The 18,079-nt window shown below is 39.8% G+C and overlaps 1 protein-coding gene across 4 annotated transcripts in view, besides 4 other annotated features; it reads right to left on the minus strand.

The window, feature by feature from the left end:
- Positions 1-10,905, minus strand: part of NCKAP1 (NCK associated protein 1) — a 129,343-nt gene extending 118,438 nt beyond the window's left edge. For all 4 annotated transcript variants that reach the window (NM_001437266.1, NM_013436.5, NM_001437267.1 and 1 more), the window contains exon 1: positions 10,440-10,905. In NM_001437266.1, the coding sequence (NP_001424195.1) occupies positions 10,440-10,547 (108 nt within the window). In that variant the 5' untranslated portion in view covers positions 10,548-10,905. The remainder of the gene's footprint in view (positions 1-10,439) is intronic.
- Positions 10,325-10,444: a silencer, noted in NCBI's record as "silent region_12162". NCBI's record gives its function as "represses an Ori minimal core promoter by ATAC-STARR-seq in GM12878 lymphoblastoid cells {active_cell/tissue: GM12878}" and the evidence as "EXISTENCE:reporter gene assay evidence [ECO:0000049][PMID:35858748]".
- Positions 10,505-11,094: a silencer, noted in NCBI's record as "silent region_12163". NCBI's record gives its function as "represses an Ori minimal core promoter by ATAC-STARR-seq in GM12878 lymphoblastoid cells {active_cell/tissue: GM12878}" and the evidence as "EXISTENCE:reporter gene assay evidence [ECO:0000049][PMID:35858748]".
- Positions 10,505-11,478: a biological region, named in NCBI's record as "ReSE screen-validated silencer GRCh37_chr2:183903107-183903758".
- Positions 10,827-11,478: a silencer, noted in NCBI's record as "fragment chr2:183903107-183903758 (GRCh37/hg19 assembly coordinates)". NCBI's record gives its function as "represses an EF-1alpha promoter that drives an FKBP-Casp9 reporter gene in an ReSE screen in K562 erythroleukemia cells {active_cell/tissue: K562}" and the evidence as "EXISTENCE:reporter gene assay evidence [ECO:0000049][PMID:32094911]".

Below are 18,079 nucleotides of genomic sequence, written 5' to 3' on the forward strand. Positions count from 1 at the left end.
ATAATTCAGGTAAGAAGGCTGATTGGGCATGGTGGCTCACAACTGTAATCCTGGCACTTTGGGAGGCTCAGGTGGGAGGATCACTTGAGGACAGAAACTAGAGACCGGCCTGGGCAACATAGCAAGATCCTATCTCTACAAAAAAATTTTTAAAAAAACTTTAAGGTTTCCTACCATACTAAAACAGTATAGAAAATTCCAAATAACCAGAAGTTATAGTTTATAAAAATTCATCTTATTCCCCACCCAAACTCAAAAAACTTTCATTTTGAGGATAAGAAAATCACAACTTGCATTTTCAGAAAACAGCCTGCTATTGGTATACTTGAAATCATATATCTTTCTATTACATCTACAATATTACACAAAATTAATCCTTAACTCAAAGTTATCACCTTTTGAAGTATCAAATTTTTAAAAACTAAATACACAATTAAACTTAGTTATCAAAACATTTTAGACTAATATATTTCAGAAAGGCTTACCAGAAAGACGTAATCAAAAGATTTAACAAATTACCAATTCAATTAAACATTTGAGCACTTCTATCCCCCATACTCCCAAAAATAGAAAAAAAGGAAAGGTGAATACAGTGTAAAATGATGTCTAAATCCCTGAATTTTATAGCCCTACCAAAAAAAAAACTTTTTCAGAGAATTGACTAAAAGAGGTATTTCACTACACAGAAAGAAAACTATGCATAAAGTACAGAATTGAAAAAACAAAAACTCCCCCAAGTACCCTGTTTTACTTTATCTTGAGTCAGCATATTTTCATAAAACATAAAATACTATAATTTCAAATTTCAGAAGATCTAAAATAAATTTAAATATTTATATACTTAAATTTCCAGTTCTCAGAATTGGAACTTTATTCTCCATGAATATTCTAATTATAATATTTTAAAAGTCAGGATTATTTTATGTGACAGATAAAATTACAGTGATGTTAAAGGATACACTTAAACATAGTAATTAAAACCCTTGTCTCTTGGGTCAAGTGCATAATAGCCTATATGACCTTAGGCAAGTTGCCTAACCTCTCAGCCTCAGTTACCTAACCCATAAATTGAGGATATTATTACTACCTACTGCATAGGGTACACTGTTAAAATATTTAAAAGATAAGATACACATAAACTGTTTATTTAGGTGCCTGGCACATATGTAGTTAATAAATAAGTTCCAAATATTTTTTTAAATAAAACTTCTTTATATACATGGATACACATAGTGAGTTCTCAATTATGGAAACAAGATTTTCCATAAAAACAATTCTAGGCTGGGCTCAGTGGCTCACGCCTGTAATCCCAGCACTTTGGGAGGCCGAGGTGGGCAGATCGCGAGGTCAGGAGTTCAAGACCAGCCTAGCCAACACGGTGAAACCCCGTTTCTACTAAAAATACAAAAAAAAAAAAATAGCCAGGTATGGTCTGGCGCCTGTAATCCCAGCTACTCGGGAGGCTGAGGCAGGAGAATCGCTTGAACCCGGAAGGCGCAGGTTGCAGTGAGCCAAGATCGCGCCACTGCACTCCAGCCTGGGCAACAAGAGTGAAACTCTGTCTCAAAAGAAACAAAAAAAAAACTATAGGTCAGTAGTCAATTCAATATCTCTAAGTTCCTTTTAAAACACAAATCTGATGTTATCAGTAAAAATGAAGGACAAGGATGTTTCAGAAAACTACACAATATATTATCCGGGCCACAAAAGAAACATCTTTGATTAGAAACATCAAGCCTAGACCCTATGCCATTTTAAAGTATGACTTTAAAACACATCTTTCTGCCACTCTACCACAAACCCCCATACTGAGGCCTTTCCTCAAGCTATTACAGCATAGGATTACATACCACAGCTTAACTTTACATGGTTAATGTTACTATTTTTCCAAGAACTTACCATGATGCCAAAAAAAAAAAATACAGATTTTTAAAATTCCTCTATCTATTCACAAGAGATTAAGCAACAATCAAGACACCAAAAAAAAAAGACTGCTCAGTAGCTCACACCTGCAATCCCAGCACTTGCGGAGGCCAAGGCAGGAGAATTGCTGGAGCCCACAAGTTTGAGACCACCTTGGGCAAGAGGGAGACCCTGTCTCTACAAAATGTTTAAAAATTAGCCAAACGTGGTGGTAAATATCTGTGGTCCCAGCTACCTGGGAGGCTAAGATGGAAGGACTGCTTGAGCCAGGGAGGTTGAGTCTACAGTGAGCCCTGTTCACAACCACTGCAAACTCCAGCCTAGGCAAGAGTGAGACCCTGACTCGAAAAAAAAAAAAAAAAAAAGAGAGAGAAGGAAAAAAAACAACAAAATAATCAAGATACAAAAGATGTTGGAAGTAAAAAGAACATTTACTGTGCAATTATTGTGTGCAAAACACCTATGCTTTAGAAATTATCTAAATTATCACTCAACAGAAAGGAAAGGAGCTTCTGAAAAATTAAGTAACTTGATCAAGATTTCACAACTACTGACAGGACCTACAGAGAAATTCATACCTGATTCCAAAACACTATCTAAAAATATATGTCCCCTCCCAAAAATAATGTTTAAAAACATGCTCCACTTATTCAAAACCTCCGCTGCTTAAAACCTCAGGAAGCAGTTGCTATCACGGTAAAAATCTGATCAGTTCAATCCATTTTATTTTTTTGAGACAGCATCTTGCTATATTGCCCAGGCTGGACTTGAACTCCTGGTCTCAAGAGATCCTTCTGCCTCAGCCTCCTAAGTACCTGGGATTACAAGCACGCACTACTACTGTGCCTAGCTTCAGTTTTATTTTTTAATTTCTATTCTAACTCAGGAATAAAACACATTCCTTTGCTAAAATATGGAAGAACAATTATTTTCTAGTACAATAATTGGAAAAATGCCAAAATAGGGAAGAACAAAATGATTTTCTAGTACAATGAATTAACTGAAAAAATATGAACAAGATCTCAGGAGTCAGAGTGAGAATGCTATTCGTGAGGGCACAGAAACCAGCCCCATCTGAATAATGTCAAGGATGAGGAGAAAAATACAAAATGTGGCCAATTTAGACTCGAAAGAGGAATTTGACTTAATAACCAAGAAACACCACACGTTTTGCAAAATTGAAGGAATAAAGGGACAAAGATTCTTCCCTGAGTTTTCAACAAATTGAAATTAATACCTAGAGGAAGAATAGACGTTACCTGAAATTATGGAATGTAAAAGTAATATATACCTATGATTATTTTATGTTCCAATTTTTTAAATAATGAAAATATTACAGTATGAAAATTGTCCATAAGTACTGGAAAACTTTATATCAAGAGCAAAATAAGACTCAAATTCATCAGTAGTTAGCTTTCCGATTATTTTTTTCCTCCTGTGTTATGATGTATATTTTGGCCAACCGATCTGCTTTAAGTTAGCACTTTCCCTCTTAGGTAGGTAAAAAGAAAAGAGAGCAATCTACTGCTAGTAACTTGGATTAAGAGGCTTGATAACAAAGTATACTGAAATTATTGGAAATGCTTTCAAATTAATGTAATTTTATCAATAACTACCTCTTAATTGGAGCCAATAATTGAGATCTAAAAATATAGAAATCACAGTTATTGTCCTTTAGACACAAGTTCTGAGAAAGTCATGAACTTGAAAAACTTCAACCCATTATACACTTCAAAATTAGTGATTCAAAAAAAAGAAAAAAATTTAGTGATTCAAATGAGTTATTAATTACCATTCCATTTACAAGAAGATATATATGTCACTGTTGCCTTTAAACAGTTTTCAGCTTCCAATATACAGGATCATCTCAGTTTATGAAGCAAAGGTGTTTTTGCAGTTTTTTAAAGTATATATATTGTCATACCTTTGCGGTTAAAAAGAAATTGTTATTTAAAGGACTACTGTGGAACACATACTTCTGAAATACAAATAATTATTCTGTCTTAGCAGTAAGTAGATGTCAAACTGTATCAGGCAGTAAAATAGAATAGTGAGGAATGTTTCCTAAAAGGTAGTCTTGAGCTTAATTTAATCTGGGGGTGGGGGGGAATGAACATTTATTAAGTGTCCACTATGTTCCAAGCCCCAGAAATAGAACTAGTAACAACAGCCACCATTTCCTCAGCTCTTACGCTTGCTACAAGGCACTGTACCAATACTTCCTATGGATTCACTCATTTAATTCTCCTCTTAACCTATGAGGTTAATAAAAGCGTATTCCAAAAACGTGAGATAACTGGAATATCTATTTAAGATTACAAGAGTTAGAATCAATAAGACTAGCAAGGCTTAGAAAGCCAAAAAATACAGCTTGAAGCATAACAGAAGCTGAGAGCAAATAAGTACCATGGAGCTGGTTTTGCTAGTAGACAGCCAATGTGCAGCCTTCCAGAAATTTAGTTATAACCCAGACAACTAAATTAAATCACCACAGTTAATAATTAGCAGGAAAAGAAATTACAGGTATTTAAGAATTTACATTTCAGTTATTTCAGTAGTTAACATTGGAACAATTTCAGGGATTTTTTTCTGTTCAAGTTAAGTTTGGGTCAGGATCCAGATGTATGGAATTTGGAAAAACCTTCCAAGAGGATTCTATTATGTATCCCTGGCTAGGAACCACTGATCTCCTCACTTTGTAAGTAACCTACAGCCCAGAAATGTTAAATAACTTGTTCAAACTAAAAAAAAAGTATCAGAGCATTATCTAGAATCTAGCTCTCTCAACTCACAGAATATTCTGCAAGTACGGAAAATGTTTAGAAAATAAGTGAAGTTTAGAGGTTATATGCCTGCAAGAAGAGCATTACTATTTTATACTCTAACACAGTCATGCATTGCTTAATGTCATCAGATGATTTCATCATTGTGTGAACATCAGAGCGTACTTACATAAACCTAGATGGTATAGCCTACTATACACCCAGGGTACATGGGATATAGCCTACTGCTTTCATGCTACAAACCCGTACAATGAGAATACTGCAGGCAATTGCAACATAATGGTATGTATTTTTGTATCTAAATGTATCTAAACATAAAAAAAAACAGTAAGAATACAGTGTTATCTTATGGGACTACTGTGTATAGGCAGTCCATCATTTCAGTGTTATGTGAAATATCATTATGCAGAATGACTGTATTTTGTTATCTTTATACAGATGCTCCTCAACTTAACAATAGGGTTACATTCCAATAAACCTATCTTTAATTGAAAATATCATAAATCAGCCAGGTGCGGTAGCTTACACCTGTAATCCCAGTACTTTGGCAGGCTGAAGCGAGTGGATTGCTCGACCCCAGGAGACAGAGACCAGCCTGGGCAACACGGTGAAACCCCAACTCTATCAAAAAAAATACAAAAATTAGCCTGGCATGGTGGCATGTGCCTATAGTCCCAGCTACTCAGAAGGCTGAGGTGGGAGGATCGCCTGAGCCAGGAGGCAGAGGCTGCAGTGAGCTGAGATCGTGCCATTGTACTCCAGCTTGTATGACAGAGCTAGACCCTGTCTCCAAAAAAAGAGAAGAAATGCATTTAACACACCTAACCTACCTAACATCATAGTTTAGCCTAGCCTACCTTAAACACTTACATTAGACTACAGTTGAGTAAATTATCTGGTAATACAGTACACTGCAGAGTATCAGATCACAAGAAAGTATCATACCACTTCCTACTGCATGCCATAGCTTTTGTGCCAACAAGAAGTCAACAAATTGTTAAGTCAAACCATCACAAGTTGGGGACCCTCTGTATATCCTACTGAATAAAAACTCTGCAATCTGAAATAGTAACTAGTTAGTTTCTGTCACTGGCTGCCTGAAGTTTCTATTCATACTTCAAAACCAAGTACAAATGTGACTCTCCTCTTTACCATCTCTCCCAGATTATAATCCTTAATTCCCTTCTCAAGACTCCGACAATCCTACTTACACACTGCATTTTAGTTAAATATCTATACATCTCTCTCCCCACTAAGACACTAATTTCTTGGCACTAGAGACTTCATCTTAATTTACCTCTATTTCCCTCATGCCAGGGAACACATTCAATAAACGAAGAGTAAATGAATAAATTAAAAGGGAAAACCTCAATATTTGAGAGTAACTGAAAGAATAGCTCATATGATGGCTTATAAAACAGTTTTAAAGATGCAATTTTATTACTATCTAAAATAGTCAACTATGCAATAACAAAGCATTTTCCAGTATGGGTTCTTCTACTTAAAACAAGAGAATCATTTCAAACTGGCACATATACAACCCTACTTACAAACTAACAATTCAGTAGCTTATAAAGTTATAAAGATGGGCAGACAGTGAATTTTTGAAGTCACTCATTTATGTTATGTTTGAGTTTTTGACAATAAACATATATTCCTCTGGTAATCATTAAAAAATTTTAAAGTTACTTAACAATTCCATAAAGGAAACAAAAGATGGATTATTTATCATTGCTACTTAAAAATTAAAAATAATTATTTTCCTAAGCATCTCTGGAACACGCTTCTGCATCTGATTGACCAAAAGAGAAAATAACACCCTAAGTGGAAACAAATACAATACTGAAAGGGAAGACTAAAACCAGTTCCCCTCCCTTTACCCTGCACTGCTCCCTTCACAAACATCTTTTCTTCCCCCACTAAATAAGCAGATACTGGCTAAAGACTTTCAATTTTACAATGCTAGTCCTGTTAAACTTTTCCTTAGAAAATAAATTTATCCAAAATAATGAGAAAAGGATAGGGAAAAAAAGAAAAATATTCCTCTAATGTTTTTAAAGAAGTAAAACTGCATTTAAACCACCACAATACTCCACTTTAAAAAGTTTGTAATAGTTGTATGGGTTTTTTTTTTTTTCTCATTCTCTGACCTTTACAGTACAGGCAGAAATTTAACAGGAGGAAAAGACGCAAGTATTAACTAAGATCTTTTTAATACAGAGATTAATCTCATGTTGGTAATGGTGGAGGAAAAGAAAGGAGAAGGAAAAAAAGAAGAGAGTAAACCACACACACAAAAATTTAACTGAGCAAAATGTTTTCTTTGGGTATTTGGCAGTTTTGTTGAACAGTTATACAATTTCAGAAAAACAATGTTGCCCAAAAGAGATGCTCAGATTCCTAAATACTATTTTCACATATTACCATCCTCTACCTTCAGAAGCAATTCTGTGAAGTATGTAGGGCAGGCATTATGCTCCCTACATTACAGAAAACTAAACTGAGTTCAGTTATTGTTTAAAATGAAACATAATTTCTACTCTACTACTTCACCATAAAATCATAAAGATAGAGCTGGAATAGACTTTAGTGTTCCTTTTACAGTTAATTTTCCCCATTTTACAGATGAGGAAAAGTGAAGCTCAAGAAAGTCAAATTACTAACCAATGTTAGAGAACTCTCAGTGACAGAATGAAGATTGGAATGCAAGTCTCTTAACTTCTGGCCCAGTGCTCTTAATCCCACCACCACACAAGTTGCCATGCTGGAACCTTTAAAAATGTTACAAATCTCTACATGAGTGAGTCACATTATTAGGTCTGCAAAAGGGAAACCATATATTTAAAAACAAAAAAAAAGGAATTAAGCAACAAATAAATTTAAATGTAAAGCTACCAACAACCTTCAAGTCTTTTCCCTAAAATCCGCTTTTATGTGTTCCTACATCCTCCGTCAAACTACAAGTTCCCTAAAATTCCCATAAATTGTAAATATTAAGATCTCAAAATTTTTGACTGATGAAATTAAAAAAAAAAAACATTCTTCAGTAATCATGCTCCAACTTCCCTAATAAGCGCCAAAGCATATTACTGACAATAATAAGTTATTTTACTTAACTATTTTTCATTGTATATGTTCACTAAAATATCATTTCCACTGTATACTTCCAATTGAAACAGAGTAATTAGATCTGGTAGACAATCTAATGCACATGCATTAATGAAAATGTGATAATTGATTGGCAAACATGTATTATGAGGTGGAAGGTTTTTTTTTTAAGACTAGAAGAGGTTGAGATTGAAAAGAGTATGTGGTTTATAATGCAGTAAGAATGCAGACAGCATGAACCTAATAAACACATGGTGAACAGATCTTACTCACTTCTTTGGCAAGATATTTGAACAAATGTTTCAATTCCTAGCCAGCTGGGAAGATATGCCAGACTCACAGACAATTCTATAGGCTGAAAGATCCAAAATCTTATCTGATTCATTTACATGCAAAATTACACAAAGGGAGCAAACCCAAGGGTATTATTATTAAAACTAGAGCACACAGGTTTTGAGAGAGAGGAGGGAAGTAATTCATTCATTTCAACCTGGCCTAACTGAAGGCCTCGAGTATCAGATAAGGCCCTAAATACTCTAGTATTTCAAAAATTACACTGTCCCTGCCCAGAGAAAATTCACACTCAAGCAAGGTAAGCAATGTATTTCTTAAGAAACTAAAAATATAAGGCAAGTGCTAAAATATGACGTTTCAATAAATCAAAATATTTGACATGGATATAATAATGATCACATTCAATGCATTTTAACTTTCACAAGTTCAATAATACAAGAGGCTGAAGCTTCCCAAAACAGGAAGTGAAAAAAACAGTGCTTTTGAGAAAAGGCAATGAACTGGAATTATTAGAGTTCAAATGCCCAGAATTTCATTTAATCTTATTTATGAAGGTGGGATATTAAAGTTTGATTGCATTTATCCTACAAAAATGTTTAATAAATGCTTAGAAAAGGTATTTTGCCCAAATACCCAAATCACTTTTGATGTTACTCTCACTTCCTCTTTTAGAAACCATCATAACCATTTCCTTTAAACCACAATACCACAGGTCTAGTAACTTTTATAATATTTGACTTGTTCATTTTTGGACAAAATTCATATAGGAATCAATTTCCAAGTTTTTTAAGCAGCACAATCTCCCCGAACAGTTCAGGTCAATGCAACCTCTAAGTAATACTATTTAAAACTGAATTATTCCTAACCTATATAAATTTATAACCTAGGCTCCTTGGTAAATGCAGAGGGGCTTCTTTGTCATGACACTGAGCTCCTGCCACATAAAAGGTAACAAACTGAGTAAGCATGTTGCAGTTACTCTCCAGATAGCACTGGGTTTAGAGTAATAAAGCCTTGCAATTAGGTGAGCAACCAGACTTTGTCCTTATCCAAAATTTATCATCATTAAACCAGGACACTCTTTAGAATTAGTGTCTACATCAAATTGTAAAAAATAAATCAATTTTACACTCAAACGCTTGGAAATGAATTTCCAAAGAAAAAAAAAAAAACCTTTCTTCAGAAGCCCTCTCAACCTACAATCTATTGCTATGATTAAACTAAACGGTAACATTCACGATATATTAAAAAGCCAACAAATAGTTATGAAGGTATGACATCAAAGACACATTGGAAACTCGATGGATCTAAATTTTCCAAATATCTCTTTTTCTCTTTATCAAATTGTTTAAAACTTACCAACCTTGCCTTAAGGGGAGAGATTTTGTTGTTTTGTCCTACGATAATGAATGTAATTATTTGTTCTATCTTTACATGGACTTTTCTAAACTTCCAGTGGTCTTCCACTCCTTACTGTACTGAGGACATGTAAAAGCCTTTAAATGGGCCTATTAGCTATAGTTGCTCAAATTATCAGACTATGCTATAAATCAGCAGCAATTGCAACATTTTTACGGTTTTTATTTTGTACAGACACCGAACTTTAAGAAATGGTATTGGAAAATCTAACATGAGGAGGAGTACAGGGGAAAGAGTAGAAGGTTGTTATTCCAGTTCTAGTGACTCACAGCCTAGAAGTATTTCAGAAAATTGGTTCCACCCTCACTTCCCCCTCCTCTCCACCTTCAAAATGAAATAATCCCAAATCGTCAACACACTCTCAATGGCTTTTTATTTAGCAATCTAAAATAAAGTGGCAAAGTGGAGGGGATACGGGATTCATCCAATCAGCCCTTCTCTACCCACATTCCCACACCAAAAAATGGGGATGTGGGGTGTAATCCCTGTTCACTGCTGCCATCTCCGTAAGAATATGGAACACTCAAGTTTTCCTACCCACCTAGAATTTCGCCCACCCACCACCCTCCCTTTCCTATGGGCCCCATCATGGGGGCGGGGGCGCCGAGGAGGGGACAGCTCCCGGCTCCCAGCGGCGCCCCCACCCCGTGCGAGGCCCAGCGCCCGATCCCGCCGCCGGGAGCCGGGAAATGGCTTCTCTGCCTTCGGCCGGCCGGCGAACCACAGGGAGAGGCGCCCGGGACTCCGCATTAGGCCGCGGCGCATCCAGGCGACCCCGGGCCGGGCCTCGGGCGGCGACGCCGAGATTTCTACACCCGGCGCCTCCTGCCGCCCCCACCCCACGGCCTCCCTTGCCCTTCATCCCTCCCGGGCCCGCCCGCCTCCGCCGCGGCCTCCCCGGCCCGTGCGCACCTTCTTGATGTTGTAGAGGCGGGTGAGCATGCCGACGCCCCGGTCGTTGAGGATGGTGAGCTTCTCCGCCAGCTTCTGCTGACTGGGCTGCAGCACTGAGCGCGACATGGTGGTGCTGGTGCCGCCGCCGCCGCCGGCCGCCTCGCGCCCAGTCACGGGCCCGCGGCCTTCGCAGCAGCCTCTCTCGGGCCTCCTCCCCTCCCGCCCGCGACCTCCGCCTTAGGAGAGCGCGCCCATGGCCCTCGCGCCCCAATCCCGCGCCGGCGACAGAGCGAGCCGCGGCGGACTCCTCGGAGCCCCTTCTCCCGCAGCAGCCCGCGCCCCGGCAGCCTCCTGCCTTCCGCCCGCCGCCCTTCCGCCCCCACCCCCGGCGCTCTCCGCCCCAGCCCCCAACGAGCCGCCTTCCCCGGCTGCTCCACTAGGTGTGGCGGCGGCGGCGGCGGCGGCGGCGTCTCCGGCGGCTGAGAACGAGGCCGCTTCCCGCAGCCCCGGACGGGCCCTCGGTCACCTGATCGGCAGCGCCGGCGCCCCCGCGAGGCCGGACGGGGAACTGCGGCCGACGGGCCCTCGGCATGGCCTCGCCGCCGCCGCTCTGGCCCTGGCCCTGGCCCGGACCGCCCACTACGCCTGATGCCGGGATGGGAGTCCCAAGCGGGGACTGAGTGGGGTCGCGTTGTGTGCTCTTTCCACTTCGCCCCACACCCCACTCCTTCAAGTTCCCAAAAGTTGCTTTTCCGCACCACCCTTCTAAAGAAACCGGCAGAAACTCTGCTGGGAGGCGGGGTGTTTTCCAGGCGAGTTTCGCTTAAGAGTGGGCTGGTGGCTCCAAGCGCTTTTTCCTCCCACTGCTTGACAGGCGCTCGCCGCAGAACACAGCAGATGTTGTGCTCCGCGAGGTGGGGATCGCCTCTGCCAGCCTCCCCAGCCCATCCTCAGTCTCCCCGCCTGGAACCAGTTTGTGAGAGAGGAGGTCGGAAGTGAGGGTAACTCAAGTCCTTGAGATAATCACAATCTAGACTTTGTCGGCGAGGAGCACCCATCCGGAGGAGACGCAGTAGGTCCTGGCATGTGGAAGGCAAAAAATAAATGTTTGTTCAATGCCTAAAGGAACCGCTCCCATTTTTTTACAGCCTCCACCCTAAATCCCACTTCTTCTTGGAAACATTCTTCTTTGCCATCTCATTTTTCCTGATCAATTTCTTCTTAGCGACACTCCAAGGCTACTCCCTTGTCAAATGTATTAGACATGATTCCAAAAGTGAACTAACTGAGGACTTACGTAATTGAGGTGAGAAACTTCAGCCAAGAGGACTCAGGCCTCTAATATTTTTGGCTTTGCCTTTTCTCGATATGTTAATTTTTTATATTATATTCATTAATTTTAAGTCAGTAACAAAATGTCCCGCCACATTCAATAAGACATTCTAAGAGTAATAAGCCATCACTGGATTTATCAAAACTCTTTAAGAAAAGGAAATTGTAATGAATAGCTTTAAAATATTTTTTAAAGCTACTATATCTACTATTCGTAAAGAAATCTTCATTTTAATATTCCAACAAGAAAGAAGGAGTGGACTGAATGGATTTAATCTAAGGGGCATTTAAAAGAGTCCTGTTCCCACCAAAAGAAGTCATAATCATACCTGCCAGTGTGCCTGAAATTCTATATACAAAGCTGCAGTACCTTGAATGAATGCTTTGTACCTAGAGAGTCTTAAGAATACAAACACTTCAGAGAGATCATCTGTCGAGCTATTACTAGTCATTAACTGGTCAAGGAATTTAATTTATCTGGTTACTTCTCAGCCTGATAGTTAACATTTTAATTTAGAGGAGGCAAGGTTGTGGGGCCTGGAATAGTAAGGGCAGACCTGAGAAGGGGAGGCTGCGAGGAGGGGTTTGGGGTAGCCAGATAAGAAAATTTAAAAATGTTGAACATTGGGGAAATATGTGCTCCTTTAGGGAGACTACAAATAACTAAGTCTAGACGCAGAATTACAGAGTGCTACCAATAAAAGATTGTCTCATTTTCTAGTTTTTAAAAACTGCTGTATAGGGAGAACAAGAAAATGGCACTGTATTATAAATTTGAACACAACTCTTACTCCCCAAGAAAAACTATCATGTTGCCATATAAACTTGAATACTAGTAGCTGCTTATAACTCAGGAAGTACCCAATAGGAGAACGCTGTAGATAGTAGTCTCATTATTCAATATTTATTGTCACTAATTCATAGACATACTGGCCCTAGACTGTAATGAAATGTATATATTTGCGTAAAAGAGATTAGATGTAGATGAATTACAATTTTTGTCTTTCTCTACATTTTGCATTAAAAAGAACAAGTGTACGGGAATTTTTCTTAAACTTTTTAACTTTTTTGTAGAGACAGGGTCTCCCTATGTTGTCCAGGCTGGTCTTCAACTGCTAGGCTCAAGCTCCATCACACCTGTAACCCCCACACTTTGGGAGGCCAAGGCAAGAGGATTGTTTGAGTCCTGAAGTTCAAGACAAGCCTTGGCAACATAGGGAGACCCCCATATCTACAAAAATTTAAAAATTAGCTGGGGGTGGTGGCGTGCCTGTGGTCCCAACTACTCTGGAGGTTGAGGTGGGAGGATCACTTGAGCCCGGAAGGCAGAGGCTGCAGTGAGCTGTGATCACACCCCTGTACTCCAGTCTGAGTGACAGAGCAAGACCCTGTCTTAAAAAGAAAGAAAGAAAGAGAGAGAGAGGAAGGAAGGAAGGAAGGAAGCAAGCAAGCAAAGGAGGGAGGGAGGGAAGGAGGAGGAGAGGGAGGAGGGGAAGGGAGGGGAGAAAGGAAAGAAAGAAGGAAGGGAGGGAGAGAGGAAGGAAAGGAAGGAAGGAGAGATGAAAGAAAGAAAGAGAGAAATTGAGGCCAGGCACGCTGGCTCACTCCTGTAATCCCAGCACTTTGGGAAGCCAAGGTGGATGGCTCACTTGAGGTCAGGAGTTTGAGACCAGCCTGGTCAACATGGTGAAACCCATCTCTACTAAAAATACAGAAATTAGCCGGGCATGGTGATGCGTGCCTGTAATCCCAGCTACTTGGGAGGCTGAAGCAGGACAATCACTTGAACCCGGGAGGAGGAGGTTGCAGTGAGCCCCGTGATTGCACCACTGCACTCCAGCCTGGGTGACAGAGTGAGACTCTGTCTCAAAAAAAAAAAAAAAAAAAAAAAAGGAAAAGTACATCCATCATCCAGCCTCCCTTGCAGCTTATGTTCTGACCAGTAAGATATAAGCTGTCAAGAACCTTCCTAAAGGGACTGCTGCTGCTCTCCATTTGCCAGTTCTTCCTCACTTCCTTCATTCTGCCACACCCAACAAGGATGCAATGACCACTATCTTGAACCAGGAAGACAACAGCCACTCAGTAAGGATGACAAAACATAAAAATGGAAGGTGTATGTGGGCTTTTTAGAACACAACAGCCATGTCAAACTTGGCCTGTCTAGACCTGGTTTTGTACGAAAGAGAAATAAACTTCTAGCTTTTTTATTTGTTTTTTTTTTTATTTACTTACAGCCAAACGTGATTCTCAATAATCCTCAAACGTGATCCTCAATAATAAGTTTCTGTGGCCAACTTTATAATATCTCTAATAGGAATAAAATAAGGGAGGATAACTAGATTTAATAGTTATGGTTTTTGCACTGTGTCAGATGTTGTTACAATTTGAGCTACATTTTCTCATTTACTTCTTTCAAAAACCTTTAGAGATATTATCATCTTTAATTTTACAGATGAGAAAACTGAAATGCAGACAGTTTTTTTTTTTAATTGCCAAAGATCACACCCATAGAAAATGGTAAAGCTGATATTGGATCCCTTATCGGTCTGACTCCAAAGTTGGTGCACTACTGTGACAAGACAGTTGGATGGCACTACATTTTTCATGCATCCAGTGAACATGATTCTATAGTTTCCTCTAGAGTCCTATAACCCTGCTCAAACCTTTATAAACAGTTCCTTCACTTTCTTCAATTCACAGTTAAGAGTCTGCCATATTTTTTCCTGACCGATACATCAGCTTTTTTAGATGGCTTTCTTTAGCTTTGCTTTCTCCAGAAACTAGCATGAGAATTATTTCTGTAATATCTTTTGCTAATCATAAAGAATGTTTATGCGTTCTTTTTTTAAAATCACTTAGTTTACCCAACCCAGTGTTGCTTCTCTATATAAGGCAAGAAGTGAGAAAAATTGATTAAGGGTATCTCTATAGGTTCTTAGGATAAAGCCCTTTGATTAGGAGGTCTGCCATCAAAGGCAGTGTTCCACTTGATCTTAAAGACAAATATAATGTTTTTCCTCCCATCAAACTTCAGTGTTCCACTTGATCTTAAAGACAAATATAATGTTTTTCCTCCCATTAAACTTCTAACCAGGTATTACTAAGTATGACTAGAAATGTATGAACAAATTTCTCTTTGAAATAGCCTGGGAATTGAGAAGTAGACATAGTAATTTTGTCTGTCCTTCAACCCTTCCTTTGGGAAGCCACCACCTTCTGACAAAATTGAATGCAGAAAGAAAAAGGGCCCAAGCTGTGGGAAGAGTCAGACATAAGTGAATAACAAATTAATAGAGCTTTTCAAGGAAGTGCCATTCTAAAAAATTGCATTTGGTGAGACCATAATGCAGAGAAACCAACCCTGGGTGAACAACAGTGGAAAAGGACAATAGATTTCCCTGTGGTTTAACAGTAATTCATGTCCTGTTCTTCTGCTTGGCAAAGACCACAAGGTATAACATTTATTCCCCAAAAAATTATTAAGAAAGAGAATGAGGAAAAGACAGGGCAACAGTGAGGAAAAGACAGGGCAACAGTATCCATAGTAAATGAAGGAAGGAGTTAAGACTTAGCCAGAGATTGCAACTCAGTAGAGCAGAAGAGTAACTGAGACCAGAATAAAGACACATGAGGTATCTCCAGTAATCAGTAGAAGAGATGCCAGAAATACAGCTGATCTGAAAAGTTAAAAAAATGAAATAAAATAAAGAATTAATTACAGCCTTGATCTTGACCACTCACATCCAATTAGATTCATCTTATAGTATGCCTAATCTTTGGTAATATAACTCACACATGTTTATTTGCACCTGCTCTATAAAACTATAGATTTAGCTTTCCTTTTTTGTTGTTTTTGCTTTTTGTTTTTTTGTTTTAGATATTTATTAGGCTAGACTTATGCATGAATAGTATATGATGGAATATATATCAGTGAATACAAATATTGGTTGATCATTTTAGGTTTATAATTTTTTAACGTTAAAATGCTACATGGAAAATAGGCAATATCAATGGTAGAACAAAATGAGTTAGAATACAGGGTTAGCATTTTGATGATACCAACTTTCAGCTGAACAAAAATAATCTATTTACATTTTTACATTTTTACATTTACATCAAATGTAAAAACTCCAGAGATGAATATTCACTCCAGAGGTGAATATTCTTTCAAAAATTTGAAAATATATTGAATCTATTGAACTGGACCTCCAAGGGGAGGCCTAGCATACAAATTTGAAGTTATCAGAATTTGGGTATTATTTGTAGCCATGGGAATAAATTGAGATACTTTTTGGAGAGTATTTTTTTAAAAAGGAAAATAGTGTGTAATAGAAAGAAAGAAACAAAGAAAGAAAGAAAAAGAAAGAAAGAGAAAGAAAAGAAAGAAAAAAACGAAAGAAAAGAAAGAAAGAGAAAGAAAGAAAGAAAGAAAAAGAAAGAAAGAAAGGAAAGGAAAGGAAAAAGGAAGACTTATGAGGTGTTAGGCCTGTGAGCCCAAGCCTGCACGTATTCATCCAGATGGCCTGAAGCAAGTGAAGAATCACAAAAGAAGTGAAAATGGCAGATTCGGCCGGGCGTGGTGGCTCACACCTGTAATCCCAGCGCTTTGGGAGGCCGAGGCGGGTGGATCATCTAAGGTTGGGAGTTTGAGACCAGCCTGACCAGCATGGTGAAACCCTGTCTCTACTAAAAATACAAAAATTAGCTGGGCGTGGTGGTGCATGCCTGTAATACCAGCTACTCGGGAGGCTGAGGCAGGAGAATCGCTAGAACCCAGGAGGTGGAGGTTGCAGTGAGCCCAGATCGTGCCATTGCACTCCAGCCTGGGCAACAAGAGCGAAACTCCATCTCAAAAAAAAAAAAAAAAAAAAAGAAAATGGCAGATTCCTGCCTTAACTGATGACATTACCTTGTGAAATTCCTTCTCCTGGCTCATCCTGGCTCAAAAGCTCACCCACTGAGCACCTTGTGACGCCCACCCCTGCCATCCAGAGAAAATCCCCTTTGACTGTAATTTTCTGCTACCTACCCAAATCCTATAAAACGGCCCCACCCCTATTTCCCTTCACTGACTCTCTTTTCGGATTCAGCCCGCCTGCACCTAGGTGATTAAAAAGCTTTATGGCTCACACAAAGCCTGTTTGGTGGTCTCTTCACATGGATGTGCATGAAATTTGGTGCTATGACTCGGATCAGGGGACTTCCCTTGGGAGATCAATCCCCTGTCCTCCTGCTCTTTGCTCCGTGAGAAAGATCCACCTATGACCTCTGGTCCTCAGACCAACCAGCCCAAGGAACATCTCACCAATTTTAAATCAGGTAAGCCACCACTCTTTACTCTCTTCTCCAACCTCTCTCACTATCCCTCAACCTCTTTCTCCTTTCTATCTTGGCACCATCCTTCAATCTCTCCCTTCTCTTAATTTCAGTTCCTTTCCTTTTCTGGCAGAGACGGAGAAGACACGTTTTATCTGTCAACCCAAAACTCCGGTGCCGGTCATAGACTCGGGAAGACAGTCTTCCCTTGGTGTTTAATCACTGTGGGGACGCCTGCTTGATTATTCACCCACGTTTCAGAGGTGTCTGATCACCATGAGGATGCCCACCATGATCCTTCGCCCTTAGTGGCAAGCACCACTTTTTGGGGGGCAAGCACCCCCCACCCCTTCTCTCCGTGCCTCTACCCTCTCTTTTCTCTCCACTTTCCTGGGGGGCAAGCACCCCCCACCCCTTCTCCACTTTCCTGGGTGGCAAGCACTCCCCACCCCTTCTCTCTGTGTCTTTACCCTCTCTTTTCTCTGGACTTGCCTCCTTCACTACAGGCAATCTTCCACCCTCCATTCCTCCTTCTTCTCCCTTAGCCTGTGTTCTCAAGAACTTAAAACCTCTTCAACTCACCCCTGACCTAAAACCTAAACACCTTATTTTCTTCTGCAATGCCACTTAACCCCAATACAAACTTGACAATGGTTCCAAATAGCCAGAAAACAGTACTTTTGATTTTTCCATCCTACAAGATCTAGATAATTCTTGTCGTAAAATGGGCAAATGGTCTGAGATGCCTGATGTCCAGGCATTCTTTTACACATCAGTCCCTCCCTAGTCTCTGTTCCCAATGCAACTCATCCCAAATCTTCCTTCTTTCCCTCCCACCTGTCCCCTCAGTCCCAACCCCAAGTGTTGCTGAGTCTTTTCAATCTTCCTTTTTTATGGACCCATCTGACCTCTCCCCTCCTCCCCAGGCTGCTCCTTGCCAGGCTGGGCCAGGTCCCAATTCTTCCTCAGCCTCTGCTCTCCCACCCTATAATCCTTTTTTCACTTCC

This window comes from Homo sapiens, chromosome 2 (genome assembly GCF_000001405.40).
Source record: "Homo sapiens chromosome 2, GRCh38.p14 Primary Assembly".
Taxonomy (NCBI): Eukaryota; Metazoa; Chordata; class Mammalia; order Primates; family Hominidae; genus Homo; species Homo sapiens.